General features: G+C 37.2%; 1 long non-coding RNA gene across 2 annotated transcripts in view; it reads right to left on the bottom strand.

Moving 5' to 3' along the window:
* Positions 1-1,964: 1,964 nt before the first annotated feature.
* The window catches only part of LOC105379104 (uncharacterized), a 62,441-nt gene continuing 44,246 nt past the window's right edge, over positions 1,965-20,159 (bottom strand). For both annotated transcript variants that reach the window (XR_948631.4, XR_948632.4), the window contains 2 exons: positions 6,245-6,480; positions 1,965-2,152 (listed from right to left, as the gene is read on the bottom strand). This is a non-coding gene — a long non-coding RNA (uncharacterized LOC105379104). The remainder of the gene's footprint in view (positions 2,153-6,244; positions 6,481-20,159) is intronic.

The raw sequence follows: 20,159 nt of genomic DNA, 5'->3' as shown, positions 1-20,159 counted from the left end.
AAAAACTATTTTGTATTATTCAACAAATGTTCCTTATAGAGGGTTGTATTAGATTCCTATTGCTACTGTAAAAAATTACCACAAACTTAGTGGGTCAAAACAACACAAATTTATCTATCTTACAGTTCTGGAGGTCAGAAACTTGAAATAGGTTTTATACGCTAAAATCAAGATGTCAGCAGAGATGCATTCCTTTTGGAGGTTTTAGATGAGAATCTTTTTCCTTACCTTTCCCAGATTCTAAAAGGACTCCTTCATTCCTTGGCTCATGGCCCCTTCCTCCATCTTCAAAATGTATTACTCCAGCCTTTGCTTCCATTCTTAAATCTCTTCTCTCTAATTCTGATCTTCCTGCCTCCCTGTTATAAGGACCCTAGTGATTTGATAGTGTCCACCCAGATAATTCAGGATAGTCTTCCTATCTCAGGGTCCTTAGCTTAATCACACCTGCAAAAGTCCCTTTTGCTATGTAAGGTAACATAGTCACAGATCTTGGGTATTGGAATGTGGACATCTTTGGGAAGCTGTTATTTAGATTAACAAGGAATATCGTGATCTTAACTGTGTGTTTTGCTATTAGTATCCCTTAGTACTAGGAGAAAACTTACACTGAGATTAATTCTTTGTCTTTTTGACCCATTCCATAAAATAAGTAATGTGATCTTATGAATGGCTCTTACCATAGAAGACAACAAAAACATCTTCATATAAGACCACACTTTATGATCTCAAAGATGTACTGTTATTTTATGTCCCAATAAATAAGAAAAAGTAAAGCACTGCCAATTAAACTGATTCACTACCTAATGCAAAATGCATTCCACCTTGATGGATTTATTTTAAGAGATGGGGTCTTGCTTTGTCACCCAGGCAGGAGTGCAGTGGTGTGACAAAGCCACTGCACCTGGAACTCCTGGGCTCAAGGGATCCTCCTGCCTCTGCCTTTTGAGTAGCTGGCACTGGAGCTACTGGTGTGCCACCATGCCTGGCTGATTTTTTAAGCCTTTGTAGAGAAAGGTGCTCACCATCTTGCCCAGGCTAGTTTCAAACTCCTGGGCTCAAGCAATCCTCTGCTCTCAGCTTCTCAAAGTGCTGGGATTACAAATGTGAGCCACAATGCGTTTACAAATGTGATAAAATGTGTGTCTTAGATTAAATATTTGATATATTTTTTCAGTGAACTACATAGCACAGAGATCCCCAAGTAGTTTCATCTTTTCCATTAAAAGTATGACTGCTACAAAGTTCCTATTTGCTATTATATGAATGTGTTCCCTCCAACATCATTGTTAGAAACTTAATCTTCAATGCAACATACAGTGTTGAGAGGTAGAACCTTCTGGAACGTGTTTAGGTCTTGAGGGTAAACTCCTCATGAATAAATTAATGCCATTAGGAAAAGGGCTTATGGGAGTGGGTTTGCTCTCATCTACCTTTCTGCCATGTGAGGATAAAACTTTTCCTTTCTTGCCCTTCTGCCTTTTCTGCCTGTGAGAATGCAGCAAGAAAGTCCATGCAAGTTGCTGACACCTTGATCTTAGACTTCCTAGCCTTCAGAACTGTGAGAGACAAATTTTAGTTCTTCATAAATTACCTCACTGGTGCTATTCTGTTATAGCCACACAAATGAACTAAGACACTATTTCAGGTGGGAAAGGCTAATCTGCTAAAATGCAGCATTTAACTAAGCTTTTATATGACATAGTGCTTGCAATGACTAAATGTATGTGCATTTCCACTTTACGTTACATTTAGCAGTTTCCTTTATTCTAGTACTTTGGATACTAAAAGTAAAAATACTAGTTCTGTTAAGGCCACGTCTTTTGAAAATGGACCTATTATTTTGTACCTCTCAGTGTTAAAATGACAGTGCAATCATCTATAGCATGCATTAGATACCAAAAGGGCACCAAAATAATTAAATGTGCATTATTTAACTGGAGTTTCCAGATCTTTGGGTTGAGAGTCACTTTATAGCCAGGATGGATAGGACTGGAATGGAAATAATTTTTTAAAAAAGGCTGTATCTTGATTGTCTTTATCTGCATTTCACCTTTATCGTTTCAGGAGCAATTCTTTCAGCACATAGCACAAGTCCTTGTGTTTTCATTATTTTCTGCCAACAATTTCTCTCTTTTCCCGAGAGAAACACCTAAAGTTAGTAAACAGATAAAACTTATTTTCTTCTAGCTGTGTTTTTTTTTTCAGATTTTTCAATATTCAATTAAGAAAGAGCAAAAGTTGGAGACCACCTTAGAAGAACATTGTTAGAATACTCTGAATTATTTTTCCTTCACTTAATGGTATTTCTCCACTTGAATTGTGAAATGAAGCCTTACCTTGCTTAGCTAGGCTGTGAAACAATGATAATGCTTCTGAATTCCAGGAATAAAAAAGACGATTCTCAATTCTCAAAGCCCTGCATTGTGGAAGACTCTCCTATGTTCAGGAATATGTTTCTGAAAAGCCTTCTTAGCAGGAAGTACAGCTTAAGGCCGTATATTTTCTGTCTACTGTTGTGAGTAGCATGATTTGAGATGTTGGTCTCGTAAGTAAGGACCTCCCAGGCTCAGAAAAAATGCAGCTTTGTTTCCTAGCCCAGCCAGGAGGAAGGAGAATCATAGAATGTTGAAGCTAGTGAGAGCTGTAGAATTAATCTAATCCCAAATCTTTAATTTTACAGATTTAAGTAACCATATCAGAACTGGTGCTGTAGATCAATGTTTCCAATTTTGAGGTAAATTCTCATTTATTGGTTAATTTCTTTAAGTTTTTGGACACACAGAGCTAAACTAATTTGTACCTCTAAATTAAGGCCACTACCAAGAATGAAATCAAGGCATCAGATATATACTGAGGCAGGTTTGGCTTATTTATTTTGCACTTTCCAGAGGAAAATGTCTACTGCAGGAATTTCACTAGCTGAGAGTTGTACGCAACAGAGTCAAAAGCACTTATGTTGTCTGGGACTGATATACAAATGACATCTGTGAAAAAATGATTTTTTTCTCTACCTCAGGATTTTTTTGGACTTGAGGCTAAAAAAAGTTATTTTGCTTGTGGTGCTTTATGGTTTCAAATGCAAATATCCTTCTTCTTACTAAAAAGTAAAATATATTTTCAAAGACCTGGGCTTTTGTGTCTCAGTTCATGTCCTAAACAAAAGGGATGTGAACAGCTGAGGTCCTTCTCGGGTTAAGGTGTTGGCGAGCCCTTGTACTTCCTGTTTCTATAGCAGAAATTTCTAGGATTTGTCTCTCATATTGCAACAGTGTAATATAAACAAATTAGAAATTGTAGATTGAACATCTTTTTGAGATAGCTAGAGCACATTTGCTAAACTTGTTGCCTTCTGCAATAAACGTGACCATAATATTCATATATGAGTCACATTCCCAAGATGCATTCAGCTTATGGACTGCCCTACAGCCAATAGAGGCTGAAAGTATGGCACTTCCAAATTCCTAGTAAGCAGTTGTAATTGCTCTTCTTTCTCTCCTACTCAAGAAAGCATAACAGATATTAAGTGCATGAGAATGTGTGTGTGTGGTGGGGGGGAATTTGCTCTATTATAATTTATTTTAAGAAATCATTCTCAATATCATTTAAAATATCAATGCTCCTTTTAAAAAGCTAACACAGTTATATTACTCAAAAATCAGAGTGATATAAAACATATTCATTGAGAAGTTTCCTTTCCAATTCCATTCTCATTAACTCTTTTCCTCTCTTGCCCCTTTTAGTAAGCATTTGTCTTCAGTTTCATACTTGTATTTCTTTAAGTACAAACGTATACAAATGTATATTCTTACTTTTCCCTTTTTCACAAATGAAAGCTAATATATTCATTGTTGTGATTCTTAAGTTCTATATTCTAGAATGCTTTCTATATCATACATTGATGTATCAATGCAGCAGTATTTTACTGTAACATAGTTTATACTATAAGCTATTTAATCAGTCCAATATTCATGGGCAAGAGATAATTCTAATCTTTTGCTATTATAATCAATGATACAATAAATAACCTTGTATATATTTTATTTTGTATGTGAGTGATATAAATATTTTCTTATTAAAAAACAGGAAGTGATTCAAATGCCATGGGTTTTTGAGTCCAGGAAGTTCAAAATCTGAAAAAAAATAATAAAAAAAATTCTGATAGCTCAAGCCCTTTTGGGGTTCAAGATAGGATAAACCCCCAGAAGTGGGATTGCTGGTTCAAAGGGTGTATAAATTTGTAAATTTTTTTATATTGCAAAATTTGCTTCTTTAAGTTTTTAACAGTAACATAGGATTTCAAAGTTTTCAAATGTTTGCATTTTGGCCAATCTGTTGTGTGAAAAACAGTATCTTGGTATATATTTCATTTGCATTTCTCTTGTTATGAGTGAGGTTATATATCTTTTTGTATATTGGTTTAAGAACCAGCTATATTTTCTTTCTTGTGAACTGTCTATTCATAACCTATGCCTATTTTTATTAATTGTTATTCATATTTTTATTGAGTTTATGGATTCTGGTACATATTGGGAGATTAGCTGGTACATATTGGGAGATTAGATTTGTGATATGAAGAACAAATGTTCTTTTCTAGTGTGTTTGTTCAGTCAAGTTGCCTGTGGTGTGACTTATCCACATTTAATGTAAAGCTTCTTCTTTTCAGGGTTTTCAGCTCTTTCTAATTTCTCCACCTTTTTTCTGGACCCCATGATTGCCAACCCCCTGCATTAGCAACCTTCCCTCTCCATCTTAAATCTCTTTGTATTGAGAGTTTTTAAGTTACCCTTAGTGCATACACATATTTACAGATCTCTCATCTTATAAAATATCTTCCCTTTATCCTACATTGCCCCTACTTCTATAGAATTTCCTTTATAGCCAAGATTCTTAAAAGAAGAGGTTTTACTCCATGTCTCCAGTTTTTCTTTCCACAGCTCTTAGCTTGGGGCAAGTTCCATCAAGCAAATAGCCCCCTAGTTATCAAATGATTGTGTACTTCCCCTCTTCATCCTACTTAATCGGTCCTGTAGAATTAGACACTTCAACCACTCTTTCATGAAACTATTTCCTCCTTTGGCAGTTTTCATGCTACTCTTCCTTCGGTATTCTTTAATTATTCTACTCCATCTTCTTCTTTGTTGTCCTTATGATGTATGTTCAAGCATCTGACCACTACCTATAAGTCAAGGACTCTTAAATCTATGTCCACAACCCAATCCCCCGGTTTCTAAGATCCAAATATACATATCCAAATAACCTTGTGATGAACATGCCCCAGACACCTCTCGCATGCTCAAAATTCAATCTCCAAATTTTATGTCTCCTGTATAAATGAATAGCATGATCATCCAACTAGTTACTCAACTCAGAGGCACAAGAGTAACCCGAGGAATTCTCCTTTATTGTAGTCATCATTTAGGCATTTCCTGTTATCTTTTTGTCATCATTTTACCTCCTAAACATTCCCACTGTCACTAGCACAGCAAATATTTTTACCAGATTTATTATAATAGTCTCCTAACTAGTCTACTGCCTGTAGTATCACTTCCCTTCAACTCCGTCTTCAAAGCATTGTTAAAATGATTATTATTCTAAGTATAACTGTGCTATTACCCTGCCTACATTTTCTTTGTGCTTCCAAATAGATTTTAGAATAAAATTCCTACTTTTGGGGTTAGCCTGTTAGGCTCTTCATACTTTGGCCTTAACTATGTCTTCAGCCTCATTCTGAAGTGGTCAGGTAACAGAGGTGGGTTTAGATCATGGACTTTGGAATTGGCCAGACCTCACTTGAATTATTAACTTTCTCACCTTGGGCAAGTTACTTAGCTTGTCTAAAATAGTTCTTTCATCCATAAAATCAAAATAAAAATAATAAGTCTCTCTCAGGGTTGTGGTGAGAAAAAAATAAAGTAATTCTTACAAAGTGATGATCACAATCCTGTCTCAATTACATGGTAAATCCTCAATAACCACATATGTGGATGGTATTAATGGCAATCCTGAGCCATAGCCTATCATGCTCTGCTTGAACTAATAATGCTGGTCCAGCCCTCCCAAATGGCTGGAAGGTATGTGTGATTGGCTCATGCCTTCATTCTCCTGCCTGGAACACAATTCTCTCTCCTCTGCCTCTCTCTAACCACTCAATTCTGTTTCTAGGGTGACTTTGATCAAGTTACCTAATACCTTTGCATTATGACCTATTAATTTGTAAAACAGGGTCCAAATTGTTACCCACCTCATAAGGTTATGATGAGGATTAAATAAGAAAACAAATGCAGAACACCAGCAATTAGCAATCCCTTCATATTTCTCCTTCTTTGTCTTCTTCATCTTAATGTTTTAATTATTATTAACACGTTGTTACTGTTAGTGGTTTTCAAAATGTTGTCCAAATTTCCATTGTCTCCTTCACTGGAAAGTCGTTCCTGGCAAGGACTCTGCTGACAGTGATTCTACCTTCAAGGAATATGTCTGGTGGAGAAAACAGATAAGAGAGCTAATCATTCCTGTAAGATGTGAAAAGTTCTAGGTTAGAGCCATGGAGGGCACAGGAAGCTTTCCTAGGCTAGCAATTTGTCTGGCACATAGTAGGTGTTCAATAAATGTTTGTGGAAGGAACGTCGATTAACTGGTGATTATTACCATAAAATGCATGTTAAAATAATGTAACATACATACAATTATGTGCTGTGATTTTAAAATCTACTTAATTTTCATGATATTAAGATGTGTTAGTATTTTTTTTTTTTACTTTGCTTCATACTAATGTTTTGGGGGCTATGTTAAAGGAAGTTTAAGTTATTTTTCTCCCTTTGTAGAATTAAAAAATTTTCACCTATTATTATCAGAACCTTGGGTTTGTGATAAATGCTGCCAAGTTAAGCAACCAGGCATTTTCTTTTTCTATGAGTCCCTGAAGGATTTCTTTAGTACTGGAATTAGTTTCAAAAATCATAAATTATGTAATTTGTTGGAGCAAGACCTTTTATATCTTGAATAAATGGCATTTCTTCTCCCCCTCCCTATCATTCACTTTTCATGTTACTAGATCAAGGAGACAAAAGGCACTCTACAGCAAAAGCTTTCAGAATGTCTCGTAAACAGGGTCTTGTGAAAAACAATAAACTAGAACTAAAAGGAGACATAGATACAATTGCTATAAAGCTGTTTGAATTTCTCTTTAAATCCTAGGGTTTATTTTCATGTCTATAACATAATATAGGCAGAGCAACATGGTCTTCTGACCATTGCTTATTGTTATCTCACATTTCCCAACACTGAGAAGCATAATCTCTGTGTTGATAATTTATCTTTGAAATGTAAATCATTAAATATTTTTGGGGTAAAAGTCATGCAGTTTAGAGTAACAGGAAAGTCACATCAGCATTCCACCTTTATAATGCATGACTGGGGTTTATTATTATTGCACTGACCTATGGAGATACTTTAGAGAATTAATGTACTGTACTGCGTGTGTTATATGCTAGATTTCACATATATAAATATCCTGAAAAATTAGTCATTTAGTTAGCTGGATCATTTAACAGACTTAGCAAAAAATGATAATCCTTTTTAGCAAGTATTTGTTCATATTGGCTAAATATTTGTTTAAAGGTTTGTTAAATATGTATGCAATTTGCAAATTCTGGTATCTGAAAAGATGATTAAAGCAATCATATTTTTGTAACAAGTTATTAATATTTTATATCTTCTTACTATATCTTCAATTTCTGGTATACATAAAATGATTCCTATCTTTCTTAATCTCTAAGATTATATCAAATAGCTTACCCAGAACAAAAATAAAATATGATGTCTGGCACTACCTCATATTTAATCCTTAATTGCAGTTCAGAAACAAATTTGATCCTTGGCTTAACATTCAAATGTGGTGGATTCCTTTCAAATGGTAGTGGATTCCTTTCTAAGGAATAACATGAAGAATCATACAGTCTCTCCAAGTTGAGGATACCAATATTCAAAGGACAATAGAGTCCCCTTTTTATGGTTTTTTTAAGTAACCTTAAGAAATTGCTTTCATATTGTTTGGGAATCTTCAAAATTAAAAATAAAATGGAATTATGATTTTCCCCTCTACTTCTAAATAATAAAAAAGAAAGAATACAAATTATCTCATTACTTCTCAGTTGTAAAATGCTGAAGTTAGAGAACTAAAATGTATATAACATTCTAAAATGAGGTGTCATAAGGAGGACAGAAGTATAGTATTTAAGCAATATAGTTCCAGGTGTGTGCATGTGTGTTTTCAAATCTACCAGGTCCAATTCAAGATGTCACCTCTCCTCAATATTGTCAAGGGGAAAAAAGGGCCCTGGATTTTAAACAAAGAAAAGGATCTTATCATGAGTGGCTATCGCCTGAATGTTGGTATCCTTCCAACATTCATATGTTAGAATTTAATCCTCTCTTAACATTATAGAGAGGAGAGGCATTTGGGAGATGATGAGGTCATGAGGGCTCCACTCTTATGAATGGAATTAATGCTCTCATGCAGGGGCCTGAGGGAGCTTACTTGCCCCTCCTGCTCCTTCTGCTATGTGAGGACACAATGTTGGCCTCTTTTGCCATGTGGAAACACAGCAACAAGGCACCATCTATGAAGCAGAGTGTGAGCCTTCACTAGACACAGAATTTGCTGTTGCTTTGATCTTGGACTTTCCAGCCTCCAGAGCTGTGAAAAAGAAATTTCTACCACTTATAAGTTACCCAGTGTAAGGTATTTTGTTACAGCAGCCAGATTAGACTAAGAGAAGTGTCAAGCTTGAGTCAAATCTTTAATAATCTCAGTTTGTGATATAATCATGCTACGTTGGAGGTTTTAATAATTATTATCATCTTACTAACTAGCAGCCCAGAAACTCCTTTAATTGAATGTTACTGGCAGTTTTAGCTTTTTTTCTCACATGAGTGCACTATAATATATAGCACAGGTGAGGGCAATTAACTCCTTGGTGGCAGGAACACGTCTTTCTTTTCTTTTGAAAGTTTCCAAACCATAGCAGGGCCAGTTGTTGGGGAATGTACTGTGTATAGTAAAATGTTCAGCAGCATCAGTAACCTTTACCAACAAGGTATCAGAAGTACTAAGCCAGTTGTGATAATTAAAAGTCTCTCCAGATATTGCCAAATGCCCGCCTGGGAGCAAAATTACCCTTGGTCAAGAATCACTGCTCTAGTTGGTTGATTTGATGATGATTTATATTTGAGTGATTCTTTTGCCAAATATGTAGGTGACATCTTCTTCAGCCTGCATTTCTTTAGCCACATGTGTAAGATAATTCTGGTTTTATATATCTTCATCATGCTGTTATAAAGTCTCAATAAAGGTATAGATAAATCTAGACTCCTAGTAAAAATGTGCTATGCCATATTGTGCAGAGCCAAGGAGATACCGTTACCTGTTTCTACAAGAGTCAGAACTATTAAGCAAAGCACTTTTTCCACAGTGACTGATACCTAAACAATGACTCATAAATTACAACGACCTTTGTTGTTAAACTTTTATTGTTAATAAATTTTAGAACTGTACATTCCTTTCTCTTCTGAAATCTGGAGTATCACCAAAAGTATGCTTAGCAATCCTTTGGAACAGAAATGTTCTCTCTCTGTCATGTGTCCTTTGTCCTATTTAAGAATACTTAAGTGTTCCAAACAGCGGACTCGGTAATGAGTTAAGTTGCCTTTCCTTCACCTAATGACAAATGGAAAATGGTGGAAATTCCATTAAAAAACTAACAAATGGAGTTTTTCTTCTAGAGCCACAGTCATTTTCTTAAACATTCACTGGATTTAAGAGTGAAGAGTTCAGCTTTCTAGGGAAATTTTCTAATTTCTTAGGGTACTTTTTATGGCTTTAGAACTGTTGTGAGTAACCCTAGCTCAGGAGCAGTTCCTAGATTTTCGACTTGGCTGAGCTTGTTGTATAACTGTGGATCAATACATATTTGTTGGTGAATGAATAAGTGATTAAATATTCTTCTTTTTCTAAGACATTTGATTTAAAACTAAGTGAATTTCCTTACAATTTAATAGCAGATGTGCTATTTTTATCCCTTATCTCCATGTCAGAGCATTTAAATTGAGGGTAGCTGCCAGAGGCAGAGTAAAAAAAAAAAAAAAAAATCATGTGTATAAGCTTTCTTCTGCCCTATTTCCTTTTGCTCCCATTTACTTCATAATAACATACATCCATCACTGTTGGGGTTGACTCTTGGCTAGTTTCTCAGTACAGGCTAATGTGAACTTGCTACAAACACTTACTGGGTGATGATAACAACTTAATTTTTCTAAAGGAATAATAAAAGTGTAAAACAAGTCCACTCTCATTCATAGTCAATATAAGAAAGCAGTGGGACTGGGCTTCTCAAGAGAAAATAACATTTCCTATGGAAAGGAAGCACACGTATAGTTTTTCTTTTTAAAGAGATATTTTATGGAAGCAAACTTAACGTGTTCTTTAATTGGCAATGTTATCTAAGTTATTTTCTTAAATGTATTAATACTCTCACATCTCATTCTTTGAGATAAGTTAAATGCTAAAATTTACGTTTACATATGTGAATGTATGTGTGTGTATGTGTACTTTAGGGTCTCTCTTTCTCTCTTTCCAAATTCCTAGTTTTCTCCTTTAAGCCTCTGCCATCTACAAAACTAAACAGCATGTAACACAAGGTCTGCCACATGATAAGAGTTCTGTAGATATTAATAGCTTGTAATTTTACTTCTACCCTTTCACCGTTATTGTGCCTGCTCCATGGTTTAGTGTTTTCTGTAGAGAGAATACTAAAAATGAATCCAAGGCATTTTCTTGAGTGTTGGCTCTGTTTATGCCAGCAGGGAAAAAGCACAGTTTTAGAAACTTCTATTTTGCCCTGGTTTAACATCTTCTCCTGTCATTATCTCAACTTTCATTACTTCGAGTGGAATATAGAAATAAGAAAGCAAAAGCAACTTTCCTATTAATAAAATCTACCTTTATCTCATTACATTCAACGTTAAAATAGAAATGCCAATAATTTAAAAAATTAAAATAGGCAGAACACTAAGTGTGCTTCTATTAGGGCATTGTATCCTTTAGTCCCATTTATTTGCAGTCAATCCATTGCTCAGGTATGACTGCCCACATTAGCTGACTTGAGGTAACACACTATAATGTTTACTTAGAGAGAGGTGGCTCATGTATTTCGGGCTTGTAGACACTGTGGGAGTTAAAAACAAAGACCATTTCCTTTACTACATTTACCTTAACATCTGAAAAGAAGAACAATGAATTTTCATGCATAGCTTTCCATTCTTCTTCTTTTCTAAACATTGGAAGTCCTTTCTACCTTTTTCCTCCTGCCAAGCTCACAAGACAAGACAAGGCCGAGGCCACAACCCGAGTGATTTGACGGGTAAATATACTATTCAATTTTAGGTTTAGAGAGTTTATTACTTACGTAGACAGCAAAAGGAAGAATAACTGAAGGTGCTATCTACTGGGTCCTTTTCCACAGGCCAAAAAGGACAACACTGAAATCAAAGGAGTCTAGGGACTGCAATGATAATGCAACAATGTCCATTGCTGGGCAGATGATTCTAGACTACAGCTGGGCAGTTTTATAGTTTGCCTCTATACCTGGAGCGGGGAGGGATGAAAATCCTTCTATATCATTAAAACCCCAAAGGCAATGAGAGAAACTATCAGTTTCCTAGAGGAAATAGAAAGGAGATTGGGAGATTTCCTCAAAGTAGCACCTCACCAGTCTCCCATCCTCCCATGTTCTGGGAGGATCTCAATGTCTCCTGCCAAGACTTGTATAGGTTGTGGTTCAAGTCTTTGCCTGTGTGGTTTGTGCGGATATGTGCAAAGTTACCAGGGCACCATGAAGGAGCCATTCCACTATTTTCTAATTCTTCTTTTGCTCCAAACCCTTTTCTACTGTCTATTAGGGAGCTGTATTCATGTCCTTTCCTTTCCTCTTACAAACAAAAATTTGAACAATATTCTCGGTTGTAACATGGGCACTGGGTATAAATTTTCACAACTGGGATGAAAAAAATGGTACGATCTTTCATTTTTCAAAACCATATCTTATGTAAACCCCGCATTCTTCAGGGCTAGCTAGAAATTAATTCATTGAAATGAATGTGACTCCTTTGCCTTCAGCGCATGCTAAAGTGAGAGGATTTGAAGCAGACCAGAAGAGGACAGAAAATATTCTCCACTTTTTCTCCCCACCATCGGTCAATGAGGAGACCTTCACTAACCAAGTCTCCGTGGGTGCTTGGCTCTTTGCCGCCTCTGCTTGTGCATGCGATTTGTGATTGAGATTGTCAGTCTCAGCTTAGTTTTCAGCTTTTGCAGGGGTGGCAGTAGTGGGAGGGGATGAGGAAGATTCTAAATCATTTTTCAGGTCCTGGCAGCTACCCTGGGTGCAATATCTGCTATTTCCCTAAACCCAGCAAAACCTTTTTCCTATACCTTCCTTTTTTGCAACTTCCTTCCCTTCTCCTCTCCTCATGAATATATAATCAATATAGTCTCTCTTGAATGAGGTTTTAGGATCACCATATTCTGCTTTTTATGAATAGTTGTGAAAGAACTACAGGCTAAGACCAATAAGTATTTTTCTTACTACATACCCTGTTAAACACATTATCATGGGTGTCCAATCTTCCCTGGCTTCCCTGGGCTACGTTAGAAGAAGAATTATCTTGGGCCACATATCAAATACACTAGCACTAATGATAGCTGATGAGCTAGAAAAAAAAAAAAAAGCAAAGGAACTCATACTGTTTTAAGAAAGCTTATGAATCTGTGTTGGGCCGCGGGTGAAACAAGCTTGCATTAAATCATCAACACATCATGTGGCACAGGAGTGACATACTTACAGAGAATTGACCTCATTCCAGATGTTTATCCAGCAGTTGCTAAACAGATGAACATTTCTAGAGCTCGAAGCTTATTATTATGAGTCATTTTTAGAGGTATGACATGACTCATGGAAATGTTATTCAATCAATTGTTTTTATCTCCAGATTTTTCTATTTTTTTCTAATTGCTTAGGAAGAAAATGTTGATTATGACATCTTAAAGAAAGACCTCACTCCAATTTATTGCAATTTACTGATAATTATGTTAGTTCAGTGGCTGTGTATTACTGTAATCAGTGCTTATATTCATTCTTAGGGTATATTCATGCTTAGGGTGAGGTTAATATAATTATGAGCTAACATCTGGGATTGGGAAGATGGAGAACCTTATAAGGACAGTCTTAGTAGATGTGTGTGCAGATGCAGTCAAGACTCTCAAATTAAAATATGGAATCCATTTTGACTTGTAGGGTGGTGGTCAAATACTGAGAATGAGGAGATAAAAACCTAAGCCAAGGGCGATATGCTTGTGGATGTGGAGAGATTCAGGACACAGTTTTGCCACATGCCAGTTTTTGCCTTTCCATATCTTGTTCAGCATTCACTGAAGGCTGCAGACAGCTTCAAACCACTTAGTTCTTGGGCCAATATTGGCTAAGCCTGAATGTGTGCATGTATGTGTGTTTATACACACACATACACACGCAGATATTTGAATATTTCTGCTTCCCACAAGTGAGGTTTAGAATTTATCTTACTACTATAAGTTGGGGGTGCCTGCCATGAGCTCTTTAGTGTCCACCTGATCGCCATATGCAGCTTTCTTCTAAACCCACATAGTGATATGCTCAGCCTATTGGATGTTCTGTTTCCTCTGTAGATACCCACCTGGAATACAGCCCTAACACCAGCTCATTTATTTGAAGCCTAAATGTCTTGATTATCTTAAAGTTCTGGCTTCTTGCACCTATGGTTACTGGCCCAGATCTTCCTCTTTAACCAGAATTGTCACCCACAGCCTAGAAACTCCTGTCCTTCATGCCATTTGTTCTAGTGTTAATTCTGGTCTTGCTAGACCCTAATACTTTGGCAGTCATAGTTTAGAGCATTGGTCACTCTTTGAGCCATAAGCCATAGTCCTCCCTGTAATCCCCTCCCTGACCCCATTTCCCTAGCATACATCATGGCTAAGCCCACACAGACCATGTTCCGGAGATTCACTGGGCTGGCTACCATTCCACCTATTCAATTTGTCCTGGATATGCATATAACTTCTCTTCAGAATTTTTCAACCTTCCTTTCCAACAAACCTAAATTCAGAAACTTCACTGAGAGGAACAACCTGTTCTAATTTTTGTAGAAGTAAAAGATTTTGATTTTTTTAAAAAAAACTTACTTGTGATTCATGAAACATCCTACCAGAAACATTTTTTTCCTTAGTGATTATTTCCAGGGAAGATTTCAAAATACAGTCCCTGCTGAGAAAATTCATTGTTTCCTCTCCATGGAGAAAGGTGAAGAAAGTTCAAGACAAGGACAAGGCTCACTGATTCTAGTTGCCTCCCACACTGATCTTTGACATCAACAATCTAAAGAACTAAAAATCATCTCTGAAATGCAGCCACAGATTTAAACTACCCTCAAATGACCCCAGCGCTTGCAGTGAATGCTAAGATATAGAAACATCAATCAAGCGTTTTCGATGCACAGGTTTTGTTTTAGGGCCATTGGTATTCTCACTTGCATATGTGTTTAGACTCAGTTAACTGTTTAATCTTCAACAGGTTTGGCTGATACAGATGTTTCCTTTGCACTGGCAGAGTCGCTGACAGTTAACGATGCATCTCAACTCATGAATCTCTCCTGCCGCTCACCCTGACAAGTTGGAGAGGAAAAGACTGCCTGCAGATGGTGTTTCAAGTGTGTACAATACAGTGGGTTCCAAACACATGGGGACTGTGTTGGGGTTGCCAAACTCACTGTGCTCTCACATGTAGCATAATGCATTTGATAAAAGAGATCAATTTATTAGCAGTGTTTTATGATTACAGGGAAAAATATTGGCTTTGTTGGCTAAGGAGAAAAATTTAAACTGAGCCCCTATGGAGAAGTGAGGAAAAAAACTTACTAATTTTAAAGGAGTTGCTTTTTTCAGATCCTCTTTTTTGGCACTTTATTTCTTCAGTACTGGAGGTCTCCCTGATGCGCTGTTTTAGGTCACAAGCTACCATGATTGTGGGCAATAACACTAAAGCCCTTGTCATTGCCAAGCATCCCTGTTCCTTAAATTCTCTGCAAAACTGTTCATTCGTCATAGCTATTGTTCCCTCACCACTGGCAAAGGGACACAAGTTAATCTCCATGTTGAGTGAAGGGCTCAATATTGGAACGTGGATTTGTATAACACGGAACACAAATTTCTATCAAAGACATATTTTGAGAAAGAACTATTATAATAGTTGGGGATGACTGAGGTGGACAGAAATTTCAGTTTTTGAGAAAATTGGGTATTCCTGGTTGCTCCAAAAGACAGAGAGTTTCTCAGAGATATCCTACTGTGTATCTACAGTGTTTCATTTACAGTGGGCACTCAATAAATGCTTGACTATATAAATAAAGAAGTGAATGGCATCAAATGGCATTGACTATATAAATAAAGGAGCGAATGGCCTAACACAAGGATTCGCACTGAATTTAGAAGACTTTTCTCCACTATTGTTCTCTCTGGAGAGTATAAGAATGAGAATAAAATGGAAATTTTAGAAAGCAGAGGGGTGCAGTGACCATTTAGACTGATCCTCTTATCTTGGAGATTATAATGACTATATTTATTTAGTATTTATCCTGCCAGGTATTGTGCTAAGAGTTGAACATGGCATATCTCATTTAATCCTCATAACAATGCTCTAAGTGGGTATTAACCCATTTTATAGATAAGAAAATTGAGGCACAGAGAGGTCACACAGCTAGTAAGCGATAAAGCTAGGATTAAACCTGGGCCCTCTGGCTTGACAGCCAGCACTCTTTTTTTTTTTGAGACGGAGTCTCGCTCTGTCGCCCAGGCTGGAGTGCAGTGGCGCAATCTCGGCTCACTGCCAGCTCCACCTCTCGGGTTCACGCCATTCGCCTGCCTCAGCCTCTCGAGTAGCTGGGACTACAGGCGCCCGCCACCATGCCCGGCTAATTTTTTGTGTTTTTAGTAGAGACGGGGTTTCACCGTGTTAGTCAGTATGGTCTCCATCTCCTGACCTCGTGATCCGCCCGCCTCCGCCCCCCAAAGTGCTGGGATTACAAGCGTGAGCCACCGCGCCCGGCCACACTTTTTTATTATGCTACTTTGGCTGCCACTCAAGCCTTAGAGAGGTTGAATTATGTATCCAAAGCTGTTACAGGGTTGGGTCTCAGACTTTATCTCATGATTTCCCATTCTATGGCTTTTTCTTCTACCACACATTTGATTGAGTAAAAAGCCTTTCGTATAACATATGGTCCTCAAACTACAACATAAATTGCAGAGATAACTGGTGAACTGGTGAAAGCAATTGCCAAGATTCCCGAAGCAGGATCCTGCCATCTTTACAGCTGATCTCAGGCAATCAGAATTCTAAATCCTATGGCTAGAGACTAGCATGTTTAGGAATTTAGCCTGGGGCAAAATCCCAAGGAGTACAAGTTTTTGACCTGATAGATTCTTATTCTCTATTCATGCAAGAGTAGGGGTGACTATAAAATAATTTAACTAATTCACACAAGTTGAATACCTTTAATTTTACCAGTGAGAGCCCGATTTTAACATTCATCATGGTAGTCAACAGGCTGCTATTTTTATCACTAAAAGCCCTTTTCTGACATTTAGTATGCTAATTAGCAAAATGGAAGTTATTGAGCAAGATACACATAACAGAAGTGCTTGTAATAGCTTTTCTGGAGTATTGACTTCTTGATGAGAATGCCAGCAGGCTACTCCTGTGTTCGTTAACCACTACTGGACAGGGAATATTTGAGTAGAATGCTTACAGCCTCTGGGTGACAGCTCATGCCAAGCTAAGTGCACATAATATCACAGTGTATATGTTGAAGTGTTTTAAAGTAAATTATAATCATTATAACAGGTGGCCTCAAGATTGGTTGATTCAGTAATTAAATGAAATCTTCAAAAACACAGGCGTCCCTCATTTCTTTTCTGCCATTTCACTTTGTTCTTGACTGGCACCCCTAATAGTAGTGAAATGATGCTGCCCATCATATACAGACTAGACACCATCTAAAAGAATATGGGGGATAATAGATGTCCCTTTGTGTCTCCTCTTCTTAACACCAAGGAAACTTCACCCAGAAGCTACTCACCAGATTTCTCCTCACCTAATTGGCCAGAATCATATCATATATTCATCTTAATCTAATTACTGTGAAGAACATAATGGGATTTTTTTTGACATTCGTAAACTTAAGATATAACTGTCAGTCATATGAGAAGGAGTGGATACCTGGAAAAATCAGAGCTTCATGAACAATAATAAAGAAGGAAGAGGCAATTGGGACAACGATCAGCATAGTCTGCTATGTGTGGAATAATTACTTCTTCTTCAATGTGACTGCTTTATCTTTAAGGCCAATGTTCATCTTTCTCTGACCCTTTATCCATCTTTTCCCTTAGCCCCAGATCTCTTTGTCCCTTTCTTGGTTGATTTGTCTTTGCTGTTGTGCACACATTCACTGAGTCTTCAGTTAATACCCCAAGATCTTGAATTAGAGGAAGGAAGTTATAGTTTTAATGAGGATTCCTCGCTTTGATAGTTAACCTGGAGTCATTTCAGGCTCCCTGATGTATTCTCAATTCAGTGCCTGCTGTTTATCATGTTAACTCTGCGATAAGTTCTTCAAGGAATATTCCTGATTTGAGAATACAGAGGCCACAAGAAATAGATTAGCTAGGGCATTATAAACACTGAAATCATCCCTTAAGGATGCCACTTCCAGGTTGTTTGCTTCCTTTATCTGTCCAGTCAGAGTCTCACTCAAAACAAGTGCTTGACATTTTTCAAAAAATGATGTTCAATTTCTAGTGATCACTTCCAACTTCTTCCTCTCCCCTGGCTAGTTTTAAGATGAAAGAAATGGCAGAGTGTTTTAAAACCACAGTAGAGAGCTTGTGTTGAATGATAAGGACATATTCACCAAATATTTACTTCTCCAATGCCTTTAGAGAAAAGAAAGAGATGGCACGAGTCAAGAATCAGTTTTCTAGAAATGACAGAAAATGAACTAAACTTTGTACAGATTTAAAAATTGGTTCTAAAAGCTTAGGCTTATTTAACGTGAAAAAAGCAGTAGTTCTAAATTGCAAAGGTCCAAGACTATTAAGAAGATGCAGGAAAAATAAATAATGGGTATTAGAGTTAATCTAATTACTGTGAAGAACATAATGGGCGATGAAATAATCTGTACAACAAACCCCCATGACACAAGTTTACCTATACAACAAACCTGCACCCGTACCCCTGAACTTAAAATAAGAGTTAAATTAAAAAAAAAAAAAGATACAGTTAGGGAAATAAAGACAGATTTAGTTGGTATTTTTTGAACTTTCATTTTGTTTGAGTCTAATACAGAGTTATGTATTAGTCCATTTTCATGCTGCTGATGAAGACATATCCAAGACTGGGCAATTTACAAAAGAAAGAGGTTTAATGGACTTATAGTTCCACATGGCTGGGGAGGCCTCACAATCATGGCAGAAGGTGAAAGTCATGTCTTACATGGTGGCAGACAAGATAAGAGAACTTGTGCAGGGAAACTCCCCTTTATAAAACCATCCAATGTCATGAGACTGATTCATTATTACAAAAACAGCATGGGGAAGACCTGCCCCCATGATTCAACTACATCCCACTGGGTCATTCCCACAACACCTGGGAATTGTGGGAGCTATAATTCAATATGAGATTTGGGTGGGGACACAGCCAAACCATATCAGTTAGTAACTAGAAAATATAAATAACATTTTTTAAAGTCTAAATATTCTGTAAATTGTATCCTAACGTTTATACCTTGCAGAAAGTTATCTTTTTCAACTTCCTCCCACAGTAATTTCCCATCATCCACTTACTTCATCTGTGCTGTAAGTGGGGTCTTAACTCATCCTTTAGCCATGTCACTTTCCACTAATACACACAAAACAGGCACCCACCTACAAACCTGACCCCCTTCTGCTTCATCAATGGCATAATCATTCTCCTAAGTACCCAGTCCCAAGAATGTTATCTGTTTCTCAATTCTCACAACCAATTATTGACAAGTGCTAGGAATTATATCTCCAAAATGTTTCCTGCTTCCAGTTTCTCATTTCTTTCCTTTATTACTTTCTTTGTTTCCACTTCTATCATACTCAGAGTTTTGTCCTAAACTCCCAGTGAGAGTCTTTGCTTCTTGCTTATTTCTTCCAATCTATCTTTCACACTACTGCCAAAATATTCTTTCTATAGGATAACTCTGATCATGACCTCTGCAGAAGCTTGAAGGTCTTCTTCAATTGTTCCTCTTTACCTGAAGAATTGGAAATCCCCCGCATGTCATCCATAGAGATTCACCAACTACATTTGCAGCCTCATCTTTTATAATTCTTTCAAGCATCCTACTCTGAATCTGTTATTCACCAATTTTATCCTCTTTGTCTTTGTTCTTTTACCATAAACACCGTCCCCATGATCTCTCCTGTCAAGATGATCCCCATCCATCAAGGCCTAGTTCAGATGCCACTTCTTCCATGAAGACTTCCTCTGTGACTTTCTGTTCCTTCTTAATTACCTGTCCAAATCCCTCCCTCCCTGACCTTGGAACTGCATCAGTGTTTCTGTTACTGTACTTAACATGACCTTTTTTTTTTTTTTTTGAGACAAGGTCATGCTCTGTCACTCAGGCTGTAGTGCCTTGGTGGGAACATGGCTCACTGCAGCCTCTAACTCCTGTATTCAAACCATCCTCCTGGGTTAGCCCGCAGAGTAGCTGGGACTATAGGTGCACACTACTAGGCCTGGCTAATTTTTTGATTTTTTGTATAGACAACGTCCCACTATGTTGCTTAGGCTGGTCTCGAGGTCCTGGGCTCAAGTGATCTTCCCACTTTAGCCTCTCAAAGTTCTAGGATTACATGTGTTGACCACTGTGCCTGGCTCATGTTCTATTTTGAATTATAGTTGGTTATGAATCTGTCTTTTTCGTGAATCAGTTACTGCCTAACAGTATATTTCACAGATGGTTTGGTAGTTGCTTTG

The sequence above is a fragment of the Homo sapiens genome, chromosome 5 (assembly GCF_000001405.40).
Source record: "Homo sapiens chromosome 5, GRCh38.p14 Primary Assembly".
In the NCBI taxonomy this organism is placed as follows: Eukaryota; Metazoa; Chordata; class Mammalia; order Primates; family Hominidae; genus Homo; species Homo sapiens.
Note: the sequence above shows the minus strand (reverse complement) of the source record. Positions and strands in the feature narration are given on the sequence as shown.